The sequence below is a fragment of the Homo sapiens genome, chromosome 13 (genome assembly GCF_000001405.40).
Source record: "Homo sapiens chromosome 13, GRCh38.p14 Primary Assembly".
Lineage (NCBI taxonomy): Eukaryota > Metazoa > Chordata > Mammalia > Primates > Hominidae > Homo > Homo sapiens.
This window is the reverse complement of record NC_000013.11, coordinates 44,436,950-44,464,697: the sequence shown is the minus strand read 5'-3', so window position 1 is coordinate 44,464,697 and position 27,748 is coordinate 44,436,950. Positions and strand designations below refer to the sequence as shown.

The 27,748-nt window shown below is 38.9% G+C and overlaps 1 protein-coding gene and 1 long non-coding RNA gene across 8 annotated transcripts in view, besides 2 other annotated features; one reads left to right on the top strand and one right to left on the bottom strand.

The window, feature by feature from the left end:
- TSC22D1 (TSC22 domain family member 1) overlaps positions 1-27,748 on the top strand; it is a 145,202-nt gene that overhangs the window by 112,647 nt on the left and 4,807 nt on the right. Inside the window, exon 1 of one of the 6 annotated variants that reach the window (NM_001243797.2) lies at positions 27,450-27,522. The exons of the other annotated variants lie outside the window; for them this stretch is intronic. The gene's annotated coding sequence lies outside the window, so the exon portion shown is untranslated. Of the gene's footprint in view, positions 1-27,449; positions 27,523-27,748 lie in introns of those variants that run through there. 6 annotated transcript variants of the gene reach the window in all.
- LOC124903167 (uncharacterized) lies at positions 7-27,494 on the bottom strand. 2 transcript variants are annotated; one of them, XR_007063778.1, is made up of 4 exons: positions 27,406-27,494; positions 13,195-13,280; positions 11,871-12,062; positions 7-77 (listed from the first exon to the last, which is right to left on the bottom strand). It is a non-coding gene; the product is annotated as an uncharacterized LOC124903167 (long non-coding RNA). The 2 variants fall into 2 exon arrangements; XR_007063777.1 differs by lacking the exon at positions 7-77 and having other exon boundaries at positions 11,168-12,062.
- Positions 11,682-12,181: an enhancer, noted in NCBI's record as "H3K4me1 hESC enhancer chr13:45026653-45027152 (GRCh37/hg19 assembly coordinates)". NCBI's record gives its function as "activates a minimal SCP1, AML or CMV promoter by ChIP-STARR-seq in naive H9 embryonic stem cells {active_cell/tissue: H9 hESC(naive)}" and the evidence as "EXISTENCE:reporter gene assay evidence [ECO:0000049][PMID:30033119]".
- Positions 12,182-12,683: an enhancer, noted in NCBI's record as "H3K4me1 hESC enhancer chr13:45026151-45026652 (GRCh37/hg19 assembly coordinates)". NCBI's record gives its function as "activates a minimal SCP1, AML or CMV promoter by ChIP-STARR-seq in naive H9 embryonic stem cells {active_cell/tissue: H9 hESC(naive)}" and the evidence as "EXISTENCE:reporter gene assay evidence [ECO:0000049][PMID:30033119]".

The following is a 27,748-nucleotide window of genomic DNA, read 5'->3' as shown; positions in this document are numbered from 1 at the left end:
AGCTGAGAGCTCTTTCCATTCTTGATAAAGGCTGTAATTCACCAGCTGTACTGAGTGCTCTTGTGAAGGAAAAAACCCTGTGAACCAATACAATTTTTGTGTTATGCTGACATCATTATCCCATTTACTAATCACTTAATTGATTTGCCTTCTAGAAGGAATTAATTTGCCTTCCAGAAACATAGGGAAAAAAAAAAGACTATATCACTATGTCACTATCTGTAATCCTAGACAAATTTGATTAAAGTCTGTAAACTCCGTAAGGTCAGTGATGGTGACTATTCTGACTTGTCATCCTCGCAGGCATTTGTTCAATGAGTGAATGACTTCGGTAAAACTTCTCCAAAGAAAATGGTGGGAGTAATATGAACATTACGCTTTTAAAAAAATGGAACAATGAAAGTGACATAACCTTAAAGAAAGTTTAGGAAGTAGAAGACAAAATTACTCCCAGTCTTCTTCTATTACAGTCACACTAAAATACTATTATTATTTTTACATGTCCTTTTATTAGGTCTCTATTGCTACATTACAAGTTACCCTAAAATTCAGTGGCTTAAAACAATGAGGATCATCTTAGTTTCTGAGGGCCAGGAATTTGGAAGTGGTTTAGCTAGGTGGTTCTGGCTCAGGGTCTCTCATGAGGTCAAGATGTCAGCTAGGGCTTCCATCATCCCAAGACTTGACACTGGGGCCGGAAGATCCATCCTAAGACAGCTCACTCACATGGCTGGCAAGCTGATGCTGTCTGTTGGCAGGAAGCACCTCAGTTCTTAGCACTGTGGAACTCTCCATAGGCCAGCATGAGGGTTTCATGCTTGAATATGAAAATTTAAGCTAGGTACATACATGTAAGATAACTCAAAAACAGGTACAGTAAACAGTATGGGAAATGACTAATTTTTCTCTTATGATTTAATCTTCTACTCTGGCATTCTTTGACAATTACCATGATTGGATTATAGGTAAGGATTCTTTAAAACCTTTTCTTCTTTATTATATCTTTAGAGCAAATGGCCATTAATTTGCAAATACATTTTTTTCATGAAATCCTCTAATCAAATGCCACACATTTAAGGAGTTAGCTATTTGTTTAAAAAGGCCATTTTGAAAGAGAGAACTGTTCTCTTTATGCAAACCTCCTAATGAAATTCAACAGTGAATCTGATTTTATTTGCATTGACCCACCTCTGAGTTTAAGTTTTTTATGTTTAACATATGGGCTGTTTAGCCACCTTAACTTCTAATTCAAAGTCAACCAGTAATTAAACTGCAGTTTAGCTAGAACTGCTATTTCTATAATTCTGGATAGACTGAAGAGTAATACAGATATGTGAGAAGCTTGCAGATTTGTCAAATAAGTTGAATTTGATGTATGGATGTTAGGTCATTACCACACTTAAAAGAAATTTCCATGGACTGTTTGCTGAAAATTCATAATTTTAGGAAATACCATGTAGCTTTTATGTCTATTTATTACTTTTGTTCTCTATGCTTATACAGAGATGGTGATGTCTGTTTTTGTTACTTTGTCAAGTAAAACTGATCCCTTTAATCAAACACATGAGAAACTCATAGGCAATATTTTCTTGTATGATCAGCTTTAGTTTTTATTTTAGAACTAGGATTAGTAGGGGAAAGAAAGAAAGTATTAAGTGATCTCTTTCATTGATGACTGGCAGGATTTAAACTGTTTAAGTTCCTCAAACTCTTTGTAAGTGCAATATGCATCTAAAATCTTTATAATTTATAGTTTGTAATTATATGTTAGCTGTAACTCTTTACTTTTCACAAATAAGTGAACAGTTTTTAAAAATTCCCAAACACATTAATCGTCCTAATGGATCTGAGACATACCATGCTTGATTCTTTTTGTTCCTTATTCTCCTGTACTCTAGTTTTATGACTTATTTTGTGTTCCTTTGAGGGTCTTTCTGAATTTTTATATTATCTTATTGATTTGGAAATAGAGCCTATATCAACTACTTAAAGCACCCAGACAAATACTATAAGTAGAGGAACCTCTAATATCTTGTATCTCATAATATGGACACTTTACAGATCTTGATATTGTATAAGATTTGTTTTTATTTAGATTTTTGTGCTGTAATTGTACACATTGCCATTTGTAGGCTTGTAAATGGTTTACTGGAGTAGTGATCCATATAACTGAAAGTAGTGTGGGCCAGAATATATAGCTTGAACATTTGCTATAATAAAATGATCACAGAGTAGGACTCAGAGGCTTATTAGAAATATATCAGTACTTCTTTCTTTTGTTGAACAAGTCTGCTTTCTTTTTCCATAAAATAGATTAAATGAGGCCATTGTGATGTAGAGTTTATAGAACCATATTTTCTATGGTCCAGCACCTTTCCAAAAATGTTTGTAAAATAGATGTTTGATGTTATGTAACTTGAACAAAACAAGGTGCTTAGTTAAATGATAGTAATTTTCTTGTTACTCTGCTGAAATAACATTCAAATATATTTGTGGGGGTAATCGCAGAGTCACCAGTCTGAATTATTCTTATTGTGTAATGGTTTCTGTATAATACATAGTCCTATTTGTTATTGTAATAGACTCATTTGAAATGATGTTTACATTTTGATTACCTGGCGTCTTTTAAAATCATTTATCTCCCCTCTCCCTCCAGCAGAAACCCTTTAACAGAATTTATTCCTGGTCTCTGCTTTTGCCTTCCTTCTGTTCATACTTCATATTATATCTTCATGCTATATATTTAGGAATTGCCTTCCTAAAATACAGAGCTGGTCAGGCTACTCCCCTGCGGTAAACACCCCACTGGTGCTCCTATTTCCTAAAGGCAGGGTTGATATTTCGCTGGTTTGCACTAGTTAGGTTGAACTGGCCATTTACAACTGGTATCTGTTCTGATTGGCTGGGGCTCATGTGCTGTGGGGTGAATTTCGGATTCCTTAGCAGTGTTTTCAGTGTTTTGGGGGATTAGAAGATCTCTGAATGAGTATTTATCTGCCTTAATTTCCCACCATACTGTAATTATTTCAGAGGACCCTACTGTTTGGGCACCTTCCATAACGATGCTTTGACTTACTGCCTCTGTTTTGGACATTTTCTGCTTTTCCCTTAATACAGTCATTCTCTGGTCTAATTAATGATTTTAAGATTATTCTTGATGATTTAATTTAGGAGAAAATTCCTTGGTGAAATCTTTACTGACTACTCACCATCTAGTACTTTACTCGGTTACCTTCTCTTATGCTTTCCTGGTACCTGCCATATACCTAAGATATCACACTTATTACTTTGCCCTATAATTATTGCTTACACATCTACCACCCCTTCTGGACTATGGGCCAGTCACAATGCTTACCACAGGTAGGCACTAAATAAATATTTAAGTGTATGGAAAGAAGTTAGATTTTTGAGTCAGAAAAACCTGAGTTCATATTCCAGGTCAGCTATTATACTTACTAGCAGTATGAGAGTGAACAAATTAATTTTGCATAGTCTCAGTTAACTACTAATTTGTATATGCAATGATAATAGACGTGAGTTGAATATTAAGCAAGATACTGTGTACCATGCTTATTATATTACCTAGGATTTAGCTGTTCAATAAACATTCCACTGTCCTAGTTAAATTTGGTTTAAAAGTATTGTTTTGCATTTCCTTTTCTCTTTGAACTTTAATTTATAACAAGAAAGCTGTTTTTATCTGAAAACATCTCTGTTCTACTGGTCTGTGATAAAGCTAGATGATAAATTATATCATTCCTACTGCTAAGAAAAACCATTGTTTTCACATTTCTACTAGCATTTTTTGGTTTGAAAGCTTTTTAGAAGGAGGGCTTCTTCACTCCTCGAAAGAAGCCCAGTAACTACTATAATGCCAGGCACAAGATGTTTGTGAATTAAGTATTTGTGGAAAGGAGCTGTGGTGGGAAAGAAAGACTATCTCCTCTTCCTTGTTCTGGGGAGAAGGTCACTTGATTTCCTGCTGGAGCAACAAATATGACAAAATCAAGGGAAGAGAACACTAGAAGCGGATGGGGCCTCCCTCCATAGCTTTTCCTAGAGGACAGTCTAGGAGGGCAGAGATGGCCTCTGTGAAAGAGGCTGCAAGGACTCTAACACAGTTTAGGACATCAAATAAATGGGTGAGGAAGTAAGAGGTGGTTCTCTTTAAAGACATAAAGTAAAAAAATATTAGGAATCACCCTCTGAACTAATTCATCATGTCATAGGGATTAAGGCAAAATTTGAGTTGCCCTTTTACCAAAAACAATGAAGTCACTTATAAATTGCTTCTCCAGATAATTATTCTGTGTCATGGAAAAGGGCATCAAGCTGTATAAAGGTGGTTTTCGTATTTGAAAAAAATTTCCTTTGGAAGTAATCTATAATAATACTTTTTATATTAGGCCATTCTCAAGCAACTCTCTACTTTAAGGAGTAATTTGAGAAATGTGAGGATCTCTTTTGATTAACCCCAATTATGGCTAAAACCAAGTAGTTCAGAACACAAGGGCTTCACCTTAATTGGTCACCTTAATTACTGTGGAAAGAGCCAGGTTCTTTTCTTGTGTTATCTCTTTTAAATGTCATAACAATATTATTGTCACAGGATCCTTGGGGTGTCGCTTTTTCAGCCAGAAACCTCTGTGGCTGGGGGTACCTTTGCTGGAGTTTTCTCAGGCCCTCTGAGCTAATAATTCCACCCACTTGGCCTGGCTGGCTGCTTTCCGCTGGCTGCTCTCCGCTTGTGCTACTGTCCTGGATCCCATGCCTGCCAAGGATGAGACAGGCACCCATGCCTGCCAAGGGTCAGTGGCAAGGGGTGTGTGAAACGAGCCTGGGGTCTCACCACTGTGCACAGCCAGGTGTGCTGGCTGCAGCGGGGTAGGCAGCTCTAGGCGCCGGCTCTGTGCAAGGCTGCGGCTAGACCAGGCATACTGTAAGTGGCTTCCACTGTGGGCACCGGGGAGTGCAGTGGCGCCTGGAAGCTTGGAGATGCCAGGAACTGCAGAGCCCCAAAGAGGGTGTCACAGCCCTGGGTTGGGGAGCCCCTAGGTCTGGGCTTCCTGAAGGGCTGCAGCTCTTCTCTCTTTCTTGTCACCTGCAATGTGGCAAGCCCTGTTTCTGTTACAGCTCTTTCAGTCCCACCACTCGGCAGGTCCTGGGTTCTTGTCTCGTGTCCAGGAAGAATGAGGTATGTGGACAACTGGAGGGAGAGCAAGGCAGAGAGGAGCTTCATTGAGTGACAGAACAGCTCTCAGGAGACCCAAAGTGGGTGGCTGCTTTCTGCAGGCAGGTCGTGCCAATAAGTGTCCAGGTGTCAGCAGAGAGGATATCCATAGTGGGTAGCTCCTTTCCACAGGCAGGTCATCCTGGCAAGTGTCCAGCTCTCAGTGGAGAGGAGACCCATAGTGGATAGCTCCTTTCCACAGGCAGGTCATTCCCCACAAGTCGAGCAGACCCCAAGTGGGTCGCTCCTTCCTGCAACCGGTAGTCCCCACATCTGTGCAAGTCTGACTGAGTCCGGGGGTGTTTTATGGGCTTAGAAGGGAAGAAGTGTGTGCTGATTGGTCCATGGACGGCCATGAGTGGGCCTGGAAAAAGCACAAGTTCTCACTGCCATCCCACGGACTCCACCCGGAACTGGCAGCCCAGCCCCCAGGCTTTAGGCCATCTACCACTTGAAAGTGGGGTTTCACTAGGGATCCTCCCCTTTCTCTCCAAGAACCTGTCTGCCTCCCGCCATCAACATGCCATCCACAGTGCCCAGGCTGTTCGTACTGAGGGGTGCCTGCAGGTTTGCATGGAGCTGCCCTCAGCCCCACCCTGGCCTTCTTCCTGCACTTGTCGGTGCCCAAGGTCCAGAGGGGGCCGAGGCAGAGTAGGGGTGGCTGGCATGTCAGCTGCTGCCCCGAGCGCACACACACACCTGGTCGGACAGCGCCCAGGCTTGGCCATAACTTTGCTGCAAAATCAGAGCGGGCACTGGGAGTGGGGAGAGACCAGAGAGCAGGATCGGGCCCTTCCAAGCCTGTGGGGGAAGTGGGGCTTCCTGGGTCCCCGAGAGCACAGGGATGCCCAGGTCTGGAGGTACGGCTGGGCAGCTGCAGCTGTGCCTGGGAGTGCAGGCTTCTGTCCTGCTAACTTGGTAGGGGGTGGGGCTCCCGCCTGTTCCTGGCCCTTGCTGTCTCTCTGGAGCCTGCAATGCCCGCCGCGCCTCCCCAGCTGCAGCCAGCGTCTTTGCAGTGGCTGCTCTAGATGGGCTGCTGTTGCCATCATTATGAAATATGTATTATCACTTCCATTTTACTATGAATAAGTGATTTTTGGAAATTTGAATTAGGCTCTAACTCCAGTGCTCAAAATCTGACTCTTTAAAAAGCTGCACTAAAGTCAGTACTGATGAAGATGTTTTATAATTGCATTTATGGACTTAAATGGCTAAAACAACATCATAGATGCTTTCAAAGGTTGTTTGGAAATGATGCTTTAGTTGGAATTAAAAAGGAAAAGGATCATACTATTAAGAGAACATTAAGAATTTTTGCTGATAGAATCACAGTGAGAAATTAGGAGGATCAGATTTGATAGAATATAGTGACTGGAAAGGCTTCAAAGATTTCACCTATCTGTTTCAAAAGTGAAAGTAGATCCTAGAACTTGTTCTACTTTTATATGAGCAGACTTTGAAATCCTTGGAAACTTAGTTTTCTAATTCTGTCCAAGAATATGAAACAGTGTCAGTTGACAGATCTGATGTATGTGTAATAGATAACTATTTCATCAGAATTGAAAGTTTGACCCAATATATAGCCACCTTCTTCAGTTAGCTTCTGTATCACTGCTGGAAATTCTTTTTGCAGTTTTCTTAGGTGAGCTCTCTGCTTCACCCTACAACCGAAGGCTTTGGAAATCATAGAGATTTTTGAAACTACTAAACCAGCCACTGCTAGCACAAAAGGAGCAAATTCTGCAGGATTTAGCGATTTCCTTTTTATATAAATAGTGCTTTCTCTTTGATTCTGAGAAAAAGTATTCCTTTTTTTTTTTTTTTTTTTTTGCTATTTGCTTTTCAGTACATATATTCAACAAGCTTTCTTTTTCTTCTGTTTCTTTAGGGGTTGCTCTTTTTGCAGCCCTTGAAATTGCTTTACCAATAGGCGTTTCTTTTATTTCCATGCGTTGTTTGTGAAGGCCCACAACATGAATTTTATTTCTGTTGCTTGGGAGATACCACATGTTCTCATCACATATTCTCTCATTTCTTTCAAAATGCCTTATTTCTGGCTTCTCAATATTTAAAAGCTTTTCTTTTGTGCATGCTGCTTGATGTTTTTGATCCAGTGTGATTAGACATATTTGAGATGTTGAATGCGTGTTTTTATATAGAAAAGTTATCCTTTGCGAAAGAATAGCAAAACATAATTTTGCAGAGTAACAAACGTGCCGAACTGAGGTAGCTGTTACATGTTTGAGATATGTGCTGTTTGCGTTTTCCTAGGTGCAGTTTTGGTTCAGCTGGGTGCAGTTTCCTGCGTTCACCTGATGTTTCTCACAAACAAAATCACACATAAGCAAATGTGAAATGTGCATTACGCTCAAATTGTTCTCTAACATATGAATTGTGTTGGAACAAATTGGTGTTTTCCAAACAAGTTTTATAATGGAACAGATTGTACTTGATAGGCTCTGTTAATTTTAAAAAGCCTGATCTGTAGTTCTAGGAAGTTTTCTTGAATTATTTTATGACACTTTTCTCCTGTCCATATTGCACATTTCTGAAACTTCTTTTGTTAGGGTGTTAGCCCTTCTAAATATTAATAGCTGTTATTTATTTTCTTTCCTGTATTAACCTTTTTGGTATTTTGTTCTAGTTTCTGAGATAGTTCTTCAACTTTACTTTCTATTCTAGCACATTTTCACTTATGCTCTCATATCAATTTTTCAGTTTCCAAGAGCTCTTTCTAGTGTTCTGAATGTTGTCCTCCTCTTATTTTATCCATGTAATCTTTTAGGATTTTACAAGTTTCTTCAGTTCCCTACACTGTCTCTGTTTCCTCTAGGTTCCTTTTGACTGAGTGTTGGCTATACTAGAGAATTGTTAGTCATTGTGAAAGGTGAAGCCGGCTGGGCTTCTGGGTCGGGTGGGGACTTGGAGAACTTTTCTGTCTAGGTAAAGGATTGGAAACGCACCAATCAGTGCTCTGTGTCTAGCTAAAGGTTTGTAAACGCACCAATCAGCACTCTGTAAAAATGGACCAATCAGCGCTCTGTGTCTAGCTAAAGGTTTGTAAACGCACCAATCAGCACTCTGTAAAAACAGACCAATCGGTACTCTGTAAAATGGACCAATCAGTGCTCTGTAAAATGGACCAATCAGCAGGATGTGGGCAGGGCCAAATAAGGGAATAAAAGCTGGCTACTCCAGCCAGCAGCAGCAACCCGCTCGGGTCTTCTTCTCCGCCGTGGAAGCTTTGTTGTTTTACTGTTAGCGATAAATCTTGCTGCTGCTCACTTTTTGGGTCTGCACTACCTTTATGAGCTGAGCTGTAACACTCACTGCGAGGGTCCACGGCTTTATTCTTTAAGTCAGCGAGACCAACAACCCACGGGAAGGAACCAATTCCAGATACAATTGCTCAGTTATTCAGTTGAGTAAGATTGGGTCTGTCTTATACAGACTTATGTTGTCTGCACCTTGTACTTTTTGAGTATTGAGTTCTTTACTGCATATCAATGGTCTTTGGACTTTCTTTACGGCTTGCTCAGGTTTCAACTTGATGAATTACCGTCTTTTTTCCAGCTTTGAAAAACTATTGAAATTGACGTCTCTTTTATATTTACTCTATCCTTATGCATTTAAAACTGGGTTCTCATCTCTTTAGTGGTGTGAGGTAGAAATAAAGATAAATGAGTGTGTTCGGTGCACCATGCTTAGTCAGAAGTAGCTTTAAAAGGCTCTGTAATAGATTCCCTATGCGATTAATTCTCATGGCTTCTTGAAACTATCCAAAGCAAGACTCAAAAAAGAGCTATCATTGCATATCTAGTGCTTAAATTTTGTAGACAGATGATTCTACAGGAGGACCTGACTTATTTGTACTTCCAGACAGGGAAAGTTTTTATTGGAAAGTGAAAAGCATCCCAAAATAATTCTTGAAGAAACTAGTTTAGAATATAAAGTGGCATGTAATACCTATTGCTATTAAGTGCAGAACAGTGTTTCTTAAATGCACCGTGTACCATAATGATGGTCTCAGTAAGCATGTTTCTTTAAAAAAGAGTCTTTCAGAAAACCAAGATAGCAAAAGTGAGAGAGATCTCTTGTATCATACATTGGTTACTGCGCAGTCCTATGATGCATCATGCTGTCTTGACTTTGTTGGGTCTCTTGAATACAGCATTTCCCCTTGCTGTTCTCCCTGCTGGAAGAGTTCTTCCATGACTAATCCCATCATCTCTCTTAGGTCTTTACTCAAAACTCATTTTCTCAGGGAGTCCTTCTTTGAAAGCTAGCTAAAATTTCATCCTCTCTGATCTTTCATATCCCTGCTTCTGTTCTTTAATTTGTCTCCTGGGTACTTGTCCTTATCTCACATACTGTATATGTACTTATTTGTCTTGTTTACTTTTTCAGCCCCAGTTGAATGTAAGTTTCAGGAAGACAGAGACTTTTGTCCATTTTGTTCATACTGAATCCCCTGTGCCTAGAACAGTTCCTGACACAAAATGGGTGCTCAATATATATTTGTTGAATTTTTATTATTTTAAAAAAAAACTATTTCCAGTGATAACCAGTCTTTCAAGGGACTGAAGATTACTAAAACATGACAGCATCTGTTATGATAAGAGTGCAGAAGTATTTTTTGCTTTTCATAGTGGTGATGAGTATGACCTTATCAAGTCACATAACTCCTTTGCGCCTTGGTTTCCTCCTCTATATGAATGGGAATAATAATGGTACCTAGATGAGGTGGTTATTTAAAGGATTAAATGAGGTAATATACATAACGTGTAGAATAGGGACTGACAAGTAGTAAGTCTAATCAAGTATTAGTAAACAAAACTTCTGCCTTTGTCTAGTATGTTTTAGTGGAGGAAGGAAGCCAATAAACATAGTAACTAAACATAGTAAATATAGTAACTAATTAAATGGGAATGATTTCAGGCTGGAGAAGAATTGCCCCTGGTGTGGGAGTAGAGGATGAGGAGGAGCATAAGAGTTTCAGTGGTGTTGATAACGTTCTTAGTTTAGCGGGGGGCAGTTTGTGGGTGTTTGTTCTACCGTTATACTTCCTAACTTACATAGATGTTGTTATATATGTTTACATAATGTAAATACTTCATTAAAAAAATACTTTCTGTTCCAAGCATACCTCAGTGTTAAAACAGGTTAATCACTCATTTAATTTAGTTATCCTGATTAGGTAAGAAACTTGGTTTTAAAGAAAATCTCTTCATATAACATAACTGGTCTTCCCCTGCTGTCCCCCTCCCCCAATCTAATGTATTAAAGCCAAAGTTTTTTTAGAATTAACTCTGTTTTTACTAGCAATATGTATTTGAGGTATTCAGTTTTATGTGTTTGTGCAGCATTACCCTAACTTGGGTTACGTAATAGGTGATGGAACTTATGCTTTGTCACCAACATCATTTTAATGGCCTTTGTAAAACATCTTGTTTTATTCAAAATAATGCAACTGAATTTTTAAATATATGTAGTATTTAATTTGGGTAATGAAACAAAGGAATTCATTCCCTCTACACCAGACTAAATTAATCCTTTATGTTTTAACTTTACCTTCAAACCAATGCAAAATCATTAAGTAAAATTGAAGCATCTTCAATTAGGAGCATTTCTTATTAGAAACATACGTGTAATACTCTGATAAATCTGTATATTTTAGATATAAATTGTCTGAAGGTGTCTAGCCATGATGACTAGAAGTAACATTTACTATTTTAAGGACAGGTGTCAGTTTTTTACTAAATTAATTGAACTGCGTATTTCTGGGGTGTCTAGAAATAGCCCACTTTTTGGTTCTGCTAGATTATTGAGTCATGCCCTGTACCAAAGCCGACTGACTTGAGTTTGGATCTTGGCTCTGCCATTTGTTAAACATATGTCTCCTTGGGTAAGTTGTCTGACCACTATCAGATTTGTTTGTGTTAATGAAAATAAGCTTTATTGCATCAAGTAATAAATACATATAAAGATATAAACAGTTATTTTCTTCCAGTTTTGATCAACTTAAAGTATGCATAACCGAAATCTACTGATAGTTTGAAAATTTTGGGTGTTCCTTGTTAAGTTTGGTAGGTTATTCTGCTGTATTTATAACTTGTGCATTTTAAAAATTGACTTCAGTGCACTAATAGTCATGCATATGTTTATGCAAAAAAGTTATATTAAGCAGAAACGAGGAGTGGCTACTAAGTGCGCTGTTAGTATGCATTGAAACAAAATCCTTATGGTTGTATTAGCTTAACAGAACAGTTTGGGGCACAGAAACATATTCAAAGGAGAAGGTTAAAGGGAGACACTGGTATCTTAGAGGCAAACTAGTTTGCTGAGATAACTTTACATGCACCTTTTAAATCAATGCTTAAAAAATAACTTGGGTAATTCCTAACTACTGAAAATGTAAATTCTAATTAACTGCAAAATCTTTTTTCAATCTGTGAGACTGTAGTTCAGAGCCAGGTGAAACATGGGAGGAAAAACCAACCTGTTAGCATTTTGAAAACAAGAGTTTCATCGAAACAGGGGAGGTGAACTGTAACTTCTCATCTTGTAAAAAGATGGAAAACCTTTAAAGCCAAAAGCAGCAAGGATATGGCACTCTGTTCGGTTTTAGCCAAGCACTTACCTTACCAGCTTTCTAGAGTGAATAATGCCTCGATTTAGTCTCTTTATTCTGTTCTTACTCCACGTAGGCAGGGTTGATCTCTCCCCAACTCTTCACTGGGGCTCCTGGCTGTTCCCAGCTCCCTGGGTGTAGCCTATGGATAGTGGCCCATGGTCACTCAGCAGCTGGCGGTACTGGGGGGGCATCACCAGGCTGTCAGAAGGCAAGCAGACGTCCCTAGAGTGTAGCCAAGTTACTTTGTAAGACATACTCACCCTTCCCCATGAGTAGCCCAGCCAGGCCATGAGGACAGTGGTGGCATGGGGCCCTGTGAGGCGCAGAGGCCCAGGCTCCCTGTGCTCGGGCTCTGGGAGCACTGGCAAATATGATTGCCCTCACCCTCGTGCCCACTGTAGGGTGTCATCCACACATTAGGCAGGTGGGCGGGCACAGAGGAGGCCATAAACTTCAAGCAGACTTTTTAACTTTAAAATGAAGAAAAGAATGGTACCTACCGCCTCAGAGTAGTAAAGATTAACTGGGGTATGAGTGTGCGGCAGTTTCCTTTTTCGAGTAGTTGCCACCAACTCTGCCACTCCTTTTTGCTATACATTGGGGTTGCCTTACAACATCTCACTTTATTTAGTTCCATGACTTGTTAGTTACTTCTCGTTACTTAACCTCATTTGGGTTCTTAAGGCTTAGTTCTGTTATTTGATAGCTTTATATCGTGTTTTGTTCAAAGTTCTCCTCTTCTGTCAAGTCGGACTAAGCTTGTGTCTCTAGCAATTTGGAATTGACATGAGAGGACCTGGATTGTTTCCATCTATATCTGTCCCCTGCCTGCTTTCCTGACTGAACAAGTCCCTGATGTGGGGCTGGGAGCGCAAAAGTGGGAAAGGACAGGGGTGTCCTTGCCAGGGAGCCCTTGGTGAGTTTGCAGTCCTCTCCTCGGTCAGCCATGGCGGATGTCCTATTGGTGATCGGTGGGATAGATACGGGCATGCAGTGGCCCCAACAGCCCCACAGGTAAGGGGCTGTGCCCCCTATAGCTCACTGGGGTCTGCTCAGCCCCTGACATGATATGGCCTCATCTCACAGTTGATCCTCAGCGTGTGGCTTCATGCCGCATTCTTCTGGATCCCCTCCAGAGCCATTTGCTTAAAGTCTCAATTCATTGGTGAGAAATATGCATGTCATGGTTTGTTTTTATTTCTCCTAATAACTGCTATTAATTGTGCTCAGTTGAATCACCCTTTCACTCTGGTAGCAGGCTTCCTTACTAGCATGTCGACCCATTTCCATCGCTTTCCAGTTAATTTTGGTCATTTAAACAGTCACTTACCATTTTTTAAACACTTCGTTCTTTGCATTTTGAAATTTGACTCTCATGTCAGAATCAAAGCTCTCTCTTCTCTGCCCACTCTTTCCCTGAAAAGGAAAAAAAGAACCCAGTCTGTTACTGGCGCCTTGGAGTGGAGGCTGTTTTTGGCTCTCACACGCGTCCCTCCCTCTTGGCAGTAGCAGTGCGCTAGCATGGAGGTGGGAAGGAAGAACCGAGGGGCAGAGTCTCTGTGCTGACTGTTGCAGTGTCCCGCTTCTGTCACGGTTGCAGCTGCCGTCTGTCTGTTTCTGTCTAACGGACTGTCCATTGGCTCATTTCGTGAGGCTGCCATCCACATGAGCTTTCTCAAAGGACGCAGTTGCTGGCTCTTTGCTGGCACCTTAGGGTGCCTGGCATTGGAGAGCTGACCTGATCTCTTCATTTCCCCGCTCCCTCCACAGTTAAATCACTTTCTCTGTCTTGGTCTCCTTGTTGGGTAGAGGCTACTCTCCCATTCAAGGTTCTTGCAAGTGCCTCAAGCCTAGCCACCTTCTGTAGTGTCCACTAGATCCACAGAAAACTCAGGTGTCTTTGCTATGCCAAACGGCTGCCCCAGTGTGTGTGGCCGCCCAGCTCCACCATCTCTTGCCTATATGGATTTCTGAGGTAATCTCATCCACTCCCAAGGAGACTTACTGCTAACCTAACAACTTTTCTTATGCCAGTATTTTCTTATGCCCAACCCCACCTGAGTTCCAAAACCGTATTTCCCACTGCCTAGTAAGGCCTATCAATGTTATACCCCAGAACCAGTTTACTCCCCTTAGCCTACAGCCTTATTCTGGCTAATGGCATCACCTTCCACCTGTTCACATAATCCAGAAACCTGTGAGTCATCCTGCCTCCCTTACCTCACACAAGCCAGTTCGGTCAGTTCTATGTTGCAATGTCTTTGAATCCATCCCACTTTTCTCTCTGTCTCCCCTTTGCTCCTTGGTTTTGGCCCTCATTATTTCCTTCCTTTTACCCCCAGTTCCATCTCTTGTAGTCTTATACATTGTGGTCAGAGTGACCTTGCCAAAACACAAATCCCATTGCATCATTTGCCCCCTTTAAACCCTATTATGTGGACCTTCATTGCCCTCAGACTAAAGTCCAGTCTCCCATCACATGGCCTGTGAGGCCCCAGCCTGTCTTAAACTTTTTTCCTTCTACTGCCTTTCTCTTCACTCCCACTGCTAAACTCCAACCTCCTATTCCATAGCCACACTCAACTACTGAGAGGTGTCCAAACTCAGCATGCTGCTTCATGACCCTGGCTTTTGCCTGGCCCTTCCTTTTTCATGGAGTGTTCTCATTCTCTTTGTACCTTGTAGTCTAACTGGACAACTCTTATTTGTTTTTCAACACCCAGAGGGTAAGTCTTCTGCCCTCAGAAACACTCCCAGGCTGCTTTCTGCTAACCATCATTTTTTATATACACTCAAATTATACAAAATATCATACGTCTTTCTCCCCTTGCCCCCTGCAACTGCCCCCAAGTCACTAAAAGCAAGGATTGTGTCTTACTCATCTTGATAACTGTGGTGCCAAGCCTAAAGTTCCTGGCCTTTCATGGGTGCTCACTGTTAAATAAATGCGAGTAAATCAAATGGCTGAAGAGCTAATGTATAGAAAGTTTTTAAATTCTAGTTTATATCTTTCTAGCTAAGATGTATTATGTTGACCATTTCTTTTACAGTAGTTGGCAGCAGGTTTAAATGCTAAAAAGTGACCCTCATTCTCATTGTAAATTTTTATTTCCCACTTCATTGGCCCCACTCAGCACTTTATTATTTTCATCGCATTGTCTTCTTACCCTTATTTAATCATGGATAGGAGAATGTGGCAATGTCAGAATCACACTAAGATGATATGGAAGGAGATCCAAGCTGATGACCACCTAGAGTAAAAATCCTTGGGGTATATTGGGACACCACAGAAGTTCTTAAAGTGATTGCCGCTAAAGCCATTTCTCCTATTCCTGGCCACAAGCCTTGGGGACGCAGCCTGCCTGCCTTCTTTACAAGTGAGCATCATTTTCTTTGATCCCCTTGGACTTCCTCTAACTCGTCTTCTCACAGCTCTTGAGGGCTTTGCAAGGAACTGTCAGGGCTAATGAAAGGACAATTTGAAAATCTTCTTTAGGCACATTCACTAAGTAATGTGTCCGTCAGCAAGTGTGGCTCTGTGTCTGTGGTGAGCCCCTTTCTCTGTCGGGACCTTGTCCCAGTGCCTGGAGAGCACCTTCTCAAACTGTAGACCTCACTGGCACTGGGACTGATCTGAGTGCCCCTGTCAGCCTGCCCAGCCTCAGAAAGGAAGCTGTGGAGGGCCAGTTCTCACCAAGAGCTCACCAGCTCCACTCTAGACTAGGCCCAGAAACCCTGCAGCCAGGCTGCCTGACTCACATGCAGCATGGGTCTCTGGCTGTGGTTTCCACACAGCCTCCCAGCTTGTTTCTTAATCTGTAAAATGGGTGGCTTTCAATGAATACTGTGGCTCCGTTGAGATCAGCAGAAGGGCATTTCACTTTATGGTCCCTTTATTCTTCCAGGTCTAACATCTTACACACACACACACACACACACACGGATCTAGAATTTCTGGTGTGCACTTCTAGGGCACACTATATTGAATCAGCATTTGGTTCTATGCTCCATCCAACAGTTGATGAGGTAGACCCTGGACAAAGCACCTAATGCCTTTGAGCCTCCATTTCTAAACCTAGAGAATAAGAAAATTAAATGATCTCCAAGGTCCATTTTGCTTTATAATTCTGAATAGATCAGAGGGTTAAAGAAACCCTCAGACCTCATTTATGTCACAGAGCTGCTGCCCATGGAGGCCATAATGTAGAAATGTGTCCCTTGATCGAAGCAGAGGTATTTATTATGTAAACACACTGTGTCCCCAGCACACAGAGTCAACTTTGCCAATGTGTTAATGCTTACCTAGGCCTGTACTACATTAGACATTCTGGAGCTAGGTAATATCCTTAAATTTATCTTTACCGTTGTAAATACAACTGTGTAATTGAGCTTCATCTGATTGTTTTAGAGTCACCAAGAGACTGCCTCTAATGACCCTAAGTGGCTCTGTATGCATAGAAAAATGGTTAGTTGGTTAGTCTAGTTCCTACCAGGTCTTTTAGGACTGCTTATCGTTGTTTTCTTCTGGAATTTAACAGGAAAATTAGCTTAAAGTAACTAGTTATTTTTAAAAAGTGCTCAAAGCATCTATTTTTCATAGCTGTGCAAAAGTAAAAGAAATAATATTCATTTTTCACTTCATGCAAGAACCTCACTTGCATGAGGTTCTCGAAATAGAAAATCATAATCAGGACAACTTGTCACTTCTTCAGATGTTTTATATAGAATATCATTTGGCTTCTAAATCTGTGATTCCTTTTTTGTCTGTGGCTCCAGATTTTCATAATCTACCACTATTAAGCAGAAGTGGTAATTTATGAAGAAATTTGGGTTTGAAATGCTTATTATTTTCATGAAGATAAAAAGTAAAATAAGAATGTTAACCATTTGAGTCCTGTTGCTGAAGGGCATTGAGAGGAGTTGAGCCCCATCTCTCTCTCCCATTGCAGTAGTTCCTCTTAAAGTCTCCCTTACCATCTTAAAAAAAAAAAAAAAAAAAAGAAAAGGCATTGGGTCTTCTTAGCATTATAGATATTCTTTTGGAATTAGTAGTTATGCTAAATAAGGTGAAGACAGCCATGGGAAAACTTAAAATTGTTTCTAGAATTGTAACAATTTAAAAGTAATTATAAATGTTTAGAGAGAGAAAAATACAGAAAAAATGTATTTACAGAGGGTAAATACATGTGTTATATATAGGTGTATATAAATAAAAGATTATATTTAAATCTATTAGCATTTTAAGACTTTTAAAATTCTCACACTTAAAGCAAGTATTTAATTTTTACAAATCTTTTAACGCTAATATGAGATTTAGGAATGATTAATCACCAACAAACTCAACAGTTCTAAGAACAGAGCAAAATTATAGTTAAAAAATTCAAGCCTAGTAATGCATTTTATATAATGATAGAACAATTAGTTATAAAATAGGCATTTTTAGGTCTCCTCAATGAATATATTTAAGTCCTTGCATTATATCTTTTAAAATAGTTTTTGTTCCCTTTTTTCTTTTAGTTTAAAATGTTTTAAATCAAAATACTACATGTAGGCTGGGCATGGTGGCTCACGCCTATAATCTCAACACTTTGGAAGGCTAAGGTGGGAGGACTGCCTGAGCCCAGGAGTTCGAGATCAGCCTGGGCAACATGGCGAGACACTGTCTCTAATTTAAAAAAAAAAAAAAAGTATAGGTATCTAAAGTAGCCGAATTCATAGAAATAGAAATTAGAGTGGCAGTTACTAGGGGCAGGAGAAGGGGGAAATGGGAAGTTATTTAATGGATAGTTTCAGATCTGCACATGAAAAAGTTCTGAAGATCTTTTTCACAATAGTAACCATATGCTTAACACTACTGAGCTATACATTTAAAAATGGTTAATGTAAATTTTATGTGTTTTTTACTACAATAAAAAATGATAATGAAAATATAAAGATTAGATAGAAATTTAAAAATATGTTTCTTTTTCTTCTTCTTTTCCTCTTCTTCTTCTTCCTCCTCCTCTTCTTCCTCCTCCTCTTCCTCCTCCTTTTCCTCCTCCTCCTCCTCTTCTTCCTCTTCTTCCTCTTCTTCTTCTTCTTTTTTTTTTTTCATTCTTCCCAGTCTGCTATTTAGGGGCAGTCATCTTTTCATTTTTTAAGATGTAAATTACATATAGTAAAGTTTGCCTTTTTAGTGTACAGCAATAGTGTTGTTTGTTTTGATTCAGGGCATACAGGCACAGGTTTGTAATATGGGTATGTTATGTGATGCTGAGTCTTGGGGTTCTAATAATCCCGTTGCCCAAGTGGTGAACGAGGTACCTCATAGGTAGCCTTTCAGCCCTGGCTCCCCTCCCTCCCCACTTCTGGAGTCTCCAGTGTTTATTGCTCCCATCTTTGAGTTCTACATGTTTTGAAAAACAGTGGGCATAACACCACTACAGTTTAGATATGAGATAGTTCCATCACCCATAACAATCTCCCCTCCCTCCCCTACCCCAAGTTTCTGGGAACTTCTGATCTGGTTTTTGTCTCTATAGTTTTACCTACTCTAGAATGTCTCATAAATGGAATCATATGGTTTGCAGTCTTTAAGTGTGGCTTGTTTCTCTTACCATAATATATTTGAGATTCATTCAGGTTGTTATGTGTATCAGTAGTTTGTTTCTTTGTATTGCTGAGTATTATTGCATTGTCTAGATGTACCATGGTTTGTTTATCTTTTCTCCAGTTGAGTGACATTTGGTTTGTTTCCAGTTTGGATCTCTTAAGCGTTCATGTCCAAATTTTTGTGGTAACATGTTTTCAATTTTCTTGGATAAATAACTTGAATTGGGATTACTGGTTTTTATGGAAACTCTGTGTCTAACTTTATAAATAACTGCAAAACTGTTCTGCAAAGTGGTTGTACCATTTTTCATTCCCACCATCAATATATGTGTTCCAATTTTTCTGCCTTTTCAGCATTTTGTATTTTCAGGTTTAAAATTTAAACTATATTTTAGCTATTCTGATAGGTGTGTAGTGGTATATCATTATGGTTTTAATTTGCATTTCTCTAACAATTAATAGCATTCAGCATTTTTTCCAGGCGCTTATTTACCATCCATATATCTTTGATAAAGTGACTGTTCATGTCTTTTGCCCTTTTCTTTTAATGGGTTGTTTGTTTTCTTGCTATTGAGTTTTGAGTTCTTTATATATTCTGGATATAAGTCCTTTATCAGATATGTGACTTGCGGTACTTAATTCTGGTCTATAGTTTGTTTTTTCATTCTTGTAACATTATCTTTCAAAAAACAAGTTTTTCATTATGGTAAAAGTCCATTTTATCAATTTTTTTTCTTCCATGGATTGTGCTTTTGGTGTCTTACCTAAGAAATCTTTACTGGTTCAAGGTTCAAAAGATTTATGTTTTCTTATAGAAGTTTTATAGGTTGGGATTTTACATTTAGTCCTATGATCCATTTTAAGTTAATATTTCATATGGCGTAAAGAATGGATCAGTTGTATTTTTTTTTTTTGCAGTTGTTCCAGTACCATTTGCTGAAGACTCTTTTCTGAATTGCTTTACATATTTGTGGAAAATCGATTTGCTCTGTGTGTGTGTGTGTGTGTGTGTGTGTGTGTGTGTGTATCTTTGACCTCTCTGTTTTGTTCCATTACTCTATGTCTGTCATTTTACTAGTACCACACTGTGGTAATGCAAGTAGTTATTAGTCTGTAGTTTTTCTTTTTTATAATGTCTTTATCTGGCTTTAGTGTTTAGGGAATGCTGGCCTCATAGAATGAGTTGTAAAGTAGTTTTTTAAAATTTTCTGTCTCTCTGGAAGAGTTTGTATAGAATTGATATTATTTCTTTCTTTAAATATTTAGTGGAATTTACCAGTGAAACCATTTGAGCTTGAGGTTTTCTTTATAGAAAGAGTTTAAACTATAAATTCAATTTTGTAAATAGATACAGGACTATTCAAGTTATCTGTTTCTTCTCATGTGAGTTTTGGTAGGTTGTGTCTTTATAAGAATTTGTCCATTTTTGTTTAAATTGTTAAATTTATTGAAATAAATTTTGATATGCCTTGTTTTTATTTTCATTCAGTTCAGAATATTTCCTAATCTTCCTTTTGATTGCTTATTTGACCCATGGGTTACTTAGACGTGTGTATTTTTTCCCCAAGTATTTTTCAGATAATCTCATGTTATTGATTTCTAATTTAATTACATTGTAGTCAGAGAACATAATGATAAAATCGACCTTTTATCATTATAATGACCTTTATTCTTTATAATATTCTTTGCACTGCAGTCTACTTTGAGTAATATAGCCACCTCAGCTTTCTTTTATTGTTAACATGGAATATCTTCTTCCATATTCTTATTGTACCTATTTGTGTTTTTATATTTAAAGTCTATTTCTTATAGGCAGTATATAGTTGTATCTTGCTTTTTCATCCAAACTAGCAGTATCTGCTTTTTAATTGAGGTGCTTGAGACCATTTATATTTAATGTCATTATTGTTTTTTTTTCTTTTTCTTTTCTTTTCTTTTTTTTTTTTTTTTTTTTTTTTTTTTTTGAGACAGAGTCTTGCTCTGTTCCCCAGGCTGGAGTACAGTGGTGCAATCTTGAGTCACTGCAGCCTCTGCCTCCCAGGTTCAAGCGATTCTCCTGCCTCAGCCTCCCAAGTAGCTGGGATTACAGGCGTATGCCACTATGCACAGCTAATTTTTGTATTTTTAGTAGAGATGGGTTTTTACCATATTGGCCAGGCTGGTCTTGAACTCAAGTGACCCACCCACCTGGGCCTCCCAAAGTGCTGGGATTACAGGCGTGAGCCACCACGCCCAGCCTAATGTGATTATTGATACAGTTGGTTTAAATCTGCTATCTTGGTATTCATTTTTTATTCTATTCTTTATTCCCCTTTTCCTCTTATTCTTTCTTTTAGATTATACATTTTCCTATGATTCCATTTTATCCTCCTGTGTTAGCTTTATTAGATTTAGAGTTTATAGCATACATCTTTAACTTATCATAGTGTACTCAGCAGTATATTTCCCTTCTCCCTTCTTAGCCGTTGTTCTATCTTTGTCATACATTTTACATCTACATATTGTAGTACATTCCAGTACATTGTTATTTTTGCTTTAAACAGTCAATGATTATTATAGACAGAGCCTCAGTATGTTGCCCAGGCTGGCCTCAAACTCCTAGCTAGGCTCAAGTGGTTCTCCCACCTCAGCCTTTTGAGAAGCTGGGACTACAGGTATGTGGCACTGCACCTGGCAACAGTCAGTTATCTTAGATTTAAATACTAAGGGGGAAAAGTTTTTGTATTTAACCATTAGTTATCATTTCTGGTGCTCTTCACACTCTTGCGTAGATCTAGTTTTTTCATCTGGTATCATTTTCCTTCTGTCTGAAGGAGTTACAGTGATGAATCCTTCCAGCTTTTGTATGTCTGAAAAAGTCTTAATTTCACCTTAAATTTCTGAAAGATGTTTTCACTGGGCATAGAATTACAGATTGACAGGTTTTTTTTTTTCTTTCAGTTAAAGATGTTGCTGCACTGTCTTCTGGCTAGCATTGTTTCCAACCAGAAGTCGGCTATCATTCTTTGTTGCTCTGTACATAGCAATTTTTTCCAGCTGCTTCTAAGATTTTATCACTGATAGTAAGCAATTTGATTATGATACACCTTGTCGACTTCTTCACAATTCTCTTGTTTGGGGTTTGTTTAGCTTCTTGGATCTGTAGGTTATTGTTTTAGTAAAATGTGAGGAAAATTACCGTTATTTCTTAAAATGTTTTCTCTCCTTTTTTTTTTTTTTCAGGGACTTCACTACAGATATATTTGGTTGCTTGAAACTGTCCCATAGCTTATTGACACTTTGTTCTTTTTTTGATTTGTTCTTTTTCATTCTTTTTTTTTTTTTTTTTGACAGAGTCTCGCTCTGTGGCTCTGTGGCCCAGGCTGGAGTGCAGTGGCGCAATCTCGGCTCACTCCAACCTCTGCCTCCTGGGTTCATGCAGTTCTCCAGCCTCCCAGGTAGCTGGAATTACAGGTGTGTGCCACAACGCCCAGCTATTTTATATTTTTAGTAGAGATGGGGTTTCACCATATTGGCCAGGCTTGTCTCAAACTCCTGACCTAAAGAGATCCACCTGCCTCGGCCTCCCAAAGTGCTGGGATTACAGGCATGAGCCACCACACCTGGCCGATTTGTTCTTTTTATTCAACGTTTCTTCTGTGTTTTATTTTGGATAGTTTCTATTGCTCATATATCACTAATACTACTTCTGTCCTATCTAATCTACTGTTAATCTCATCTAGTGTATTTTTCTTCTCAAATATTGTATTTTTCACCTTGATAATTTAATTTAGGTTTTCTTACATTTCTCACACCTGTCCTTAATATGCTAATGTTTTCCTCTACTTTCTTGAACATATGAAATATAGTTATAACTGTTTTTAATGTTCCTGTCTATAAATCATCTTTGTCATATCTGGGTCATTTTGATTAATTTTTCTCCTCATGAGTGATATTTCCCTGCTTGTTTTTATGCCTAGTACTTTTTATTGGATGCCAGACATTGTGAATTATTGGATGCTAGAGACTTTATTAAATATTCTTGAGCTTTGTTTTGAGAGAAAATTAAGTTACTTGGAAACAGTTTGACCTTTCAGGGCTTCCTTTTAAACTGCTTTATGTAGGACCAAAACACTCTTCAGTCTAGGACTCATTTTTCCCTTAAATTAGTCCTAGACTGAAGGGAATTAGAATTCTTCTAAGCATTCAGAAGGAGACTTAGGCAGTATACTTCTGAATATCTGATATCCCTTTTTACAGAGTTTTTTTTTCATTTAGGCTGGTGGGTGGTAATACCAACTGGTGCCTACCCTATGTGATTTCTGAAAATTGTTCTGCTTGCTTCTTTTGGGTGGTTCTTTCCCCAGCCTCGGGTAGTTTCCTCACATGCAGGTGTGCTAAGGGCTCTGCTGAAGCCTGGAAGCAGGAAGAACTGCTGCAGATCCCTATAAACCTTTCTTTTATTTTGAAGTGTTTAAAATTTATTTTATTTAAATTTTTTAATCAAAATACATGTACATACCCAAAAAGCAAATAGAATGAATAGAAAAAAATAGCAGTTCTCTTTTTTCACTTATCCACTCGGTGCCTTAGACGCAGCCACTTTTAAGTTTTAGTTGTTTTTTCTCATTTTTACCTCCACATTTCTATGTAATATATTTATACTTACACTATTTCTTGCTTTTTCCATTTTAGATGTTAGGTAATCAAGCTGTAGTAGATTAGGATTTAGCAGTTTTAAACCATTCCTGCCATGCAATTTTTCTTCCTGTTACCTTCTCAATAAAGTTAACTTTTAAAAGGTAAATCCACAAAAAAATGAAAAAATAATATGGGTCATGTATATTTTATGAGCATTCCGTGTTTTCTTCCTTGCTCTGTTTTCAGTAAAACTGCCTTTGAGCTTATCTAATTGTTCCATTAGATCTATCATACACCTATCAGTAGCTCACCTGTGCCCTGCAAATGCTTAGATGTGTTAGATAATCTGTGTGTTCATTAGCACGGAAGCTCTCCCTCCTGGAGTTCTCCATCTTCCCTTACCATTGCAGACCAGGTACAGACCAGCTGCAGCTTGGGCTTGTCCAGCAGCAGTCCCCCTGAGATCTCCCTGCACTCCAGCCTGCTGATTCCCTTCCTTTCCTCCAGTATCTGAGTTCCTGGTTCCTATTTCCCATGCCTGCCTTTTTTCTTGATTTGCTCCTCCATTTTGGTGTCTGAAATATCTAAAAATGTTTTAATTCTACCTTTACACTCAAATGATGATTTGGCCAAGTAAAGAATTCTGGATAAAAAAACTCTTTTCTCTCAGAATTTTAAAGACATTTTCTTCATCTTTTTCTGACTGCCAGCAAAGTGGTTCTGTTCCTAGTCCCTGTGTTTGTAACTTGTTTCTTCCATTTGGAAGCTTTTAGTATTTTCTCTCTATGCCTAGTGATTAAGGTTTCAGGGTGGTGTGCTTTGGTGGAGGGCTTTTTCATTTCTTGTGGTGGGCATTTGGTCATCTCATTTAACTGGAGACTTGTGTCCTTCAGTTCTGGAACAATTCTTAAATTATTTGATAATTCTCTTCCTTCTGTTCTCTCTCCAAAATAGAAATGCATCCTATTTTGATGTTGGACCTCCTAGATTTATCCTTTTTCTTTTCCGATTCTTTTTTTTTTTTTTTTTTTTTTTGAGACAGAGCCTTGCCCTGTTGCCTAGGCTGGAGTGCAATGATGCGATCTCAGCTCACTGCAACCTCTGCCTCCTGGGTTCAAGCAATTCTTCGTCAGCCTCCCCAGTAGCTGGGATTATAGACATGTGCCACCACGCCCAGCTAATTTATTTGTTTTTGTTTTTTTTTAAAGTGGAGACGGGGTTTTACCATGTTGGCAAGGCTGGTCTTGAACTCCTGACCTCAAGTGATCCGCCCATCTCACCCTCTCAAAGTGCTGGGATTACAGGCATGAGCCATCGCGCTCGCGCCCGGCCACTGTTCTACTCTTTTGGAAGCTTTTTCCAACCAGCCTTTCTGTGGAGATAAGGAAATGTAAATTGTGGTTGAATTTAACAGCCATTTCTTTGGCATTTCTTCTTGTTTTGACAGTGTGTGGGACCCAACACTAAAACACTATTTGTTGTTTTTCTGCCATTCACATTTAACTGATAGTCCTGTAGTTTCATTTGTTAAACCTGGTAAGTATATTCCCATGCCTAGTGAGAGTAAACTAGAAAAATGGAGGTGACGTGGGAGTCCTTAGACAGCAGTGATTTGGTCAGGTACAGGGTAATGTGCCTTCGCTTCTTTCCTGGCAGTTGTTTTAGATTTGCAAGGAGTTTGGATAGGGGGAGAAAGAGGTTACTCTATTTCAGTGCTGAATCTCCAACTGTACCGGTGTTGGCCAAGTCAGATTAAGTTTGGAAGAAAAGCACATGTTACAGGAAACAGAAACACTCAGGCCTGTTCCTCTTTTCCTATCCTGTCATGCTTGCTACCAATATGCAGTAGCAGTTGAATTGGAATCTGTGTAAAAAGGCTTTTAGGCAGACAACACTAGAAAATACCTCAATCTCAATTGTCCAGGCTGTTTAATGTGTATGAGTTCCCACTGAGGTGATACCTCCTGATCTTTGCTCAGTGCCTGAAATAGACTTATATGGTCCATGGCTTTAAGGATCTCTCCTGGAAGCCTTGTAGTATTTTTCTCTGCCCTGTCAGCAAGTCTCAGTGAGCTCTGATGAGGCACCAGACATATGGATCGTTTGTCTTGCAATTAGAAGAGCCTTTGAATGTAATTCTAGCCATTTGTGCCACGGACATTTCTGATCCAAGGGTTTTCCCTCCATGGAGCTTTCCATTTCCTTTGCCTTCTTTTTCAAATTATGTCTTCTCAGTTTTCATACAAAAGTCTAGTTTTAAAGGAATCTAGCATATTTATGTGAAATATATGAGAAAATTAGATTTCTAATCATTTTTTTAGTTGCCTATCCTTTGGCTCAACAAATTCTCCAGAAGTGTGCACACACACATACATGTTCAAGGATGTATGTAGAAGGATGTTCCTTGCAATTTTATTTAAAATATCCAAGTATTAACAATAACTGTAATGTCCTTCAATAGGAAAATGGGTTAAATAGACTATGGTTGCTTATATTTGCTTCTCTTGCTTGATACAATGGATGATCAGTTAAAATGATTGAAATAAAAACAGCTTTCTGTTTATGTTGAAGAACGGCATGAATAAATTCAGTTAATTTAGTAATTTTTTAAAACTGCAGCTTGGAATTTAAAAATTTTTTTATATGACCTTAGAGTTTTGTTTTTTAAAGCTCTTTTTATAGCTTAAATGGTGCTTTAATACCCTTTTTTCATGAAGTTGGCATTCAGTTAAAACATGTAAATGGAATTTAGCATACAAATAGTTTTAGGTATAACTTTAACTTTCAAAATATAGAGACTATCATGTAGTAAATAATATTCTGGTTAGCATTCATAGACATAGGGACCACATGCCAGCTTCCCAAATAATTACGATTTCTAAGCTTCTACTTAGTCTCCTTTTGTTGGAAATGGGTATCTTTTTTTTTAAAGCATCATATGAGTTAATATATGTAATTTTTATAAATTATAAATATGTTAACAATTATTGTTATTCAAAAGCCAAGCCTTAAAATTTGGAGAATATGAACCTTTCAGTAAAAAGGGAATCTCATCACTTTATAGTTGGTCACACTTTGGTTTTTAACCCAAAAGAGAATTGTGGTCTTCATCATTTACTGTGCTTACCGATCTGGTCTGGTTCCTAATAACTTTGGACAGTTTCTGAAAACCAAATCTACCTACCCCCACTACCAGCATTGAGTCAACTTAAAAACTGTCTAAATGGATCTGATGGCAATTTTAGAAAAGGATGCTGCTTGAGGAAAGATGCTTATTTTGGAGAGAAGACTGTGTGTGTTTGTGCATGTGCGTGTATTACATATATATGTTCTACGGTCAGATTTTATGTTGGAATTATTTGTGATGACACAATTTTATCTACAGATTAGAGAGGTCTCCCCAAGTACTTTGTAGATTTTTTGGTTTTTATATTATGCCATTAGAGGGCAGTATTGTAGAGGTTAAGTTTTCTTTCTCGCATGTATTGACTTGGAAACTGTTTATGTTGTATTATAATTTAGCAAACTTCAGGGCTTAGATTTCTAGTATATTAAATTGTAGCCTTAATTGATGCATCCCTGCAAGTATTTTAAATTAATATAGGAAATTTTGAAAGGGTTAAGCTATTTTATACCCACATCTCTCGATTTTGGTTTGGAGAAGGGAATTATTTGGTCAGTGTGGCCAAGAGGGTGAAACAGAGGTGAGCCTACAGCATCTATTGGCTGCTTAACTATTTTTAACCACCATTATATCCTCCCTTTTCTGGTTCTGGACACTGCAAATGGGCAGAGACTAACTTCAAGGATTTGTATGCTTTGAATACATACTTTATAATATTTCAATCCCTCTGATGTAAGAAGGCTCATAGGATTGAGGGATTGAGTCTTAGAGGAATTGTCACTCAGCTTGCAAAAACGTGCCTTAGGGACTTAACTAAAAATAGATTTATGTGGAATTCAACCTGTGGATTGACTTTTTTGGGTCTAAATAGAAGAAGGCATATTTAGTTACTAGGGAGAAGATGCTAATAGGGAGATGTGATTTTAAGGTTTGTGGCTCTACGGGCTTTTTGGGAAGATCCTGGATTTTATCTGGAGTCTTTCCCTCATGCCTAGCAAAGAATATATAATGTTTTTTGTTTTGTTTCTATAAAACAAAAGGTAGTATCTCTCAAAGAGCAAATGTGATTTTTTTTCCTCTAAAATTAAAAAAATACATGATTGCAGGGTGATTATTATCTTTAAAAATAAAACCGTCTATAAAATCCTCCCAGTACCGCTGCCGGTAAGAACTAGATAATTGAAATCAAGACACTCGAAGTCTTACAGTGGTGGGACTGGGCATGCCCAGTAGCTCAGACGGTTCGGGTTACAAATAGGAAGCTTTCGCCGTTAAGCAGCCGCGGGACACAGCTCCGGGGACCGGGGTCTGACTCCCTTAAACGTAAGCACGTGTGGGGGCCCCCATAGTATTTTTCAGGGACCCTTCACATTTTCTGCCGAAGCAATGGCCCAGTGTTTTGAGGCCGCCGTGGAAACCTCCGAACCCAGCACCCCACTCCCTCTGAGCACGGCCCGCGCCAGGCCAGCCCACCCCACGAGCGGGATCTGGAGAATGGGGGCGGAGGTGGGGGTGGGGGGAGGCGGGGAAGCAGGGAAGCGGGAGGACC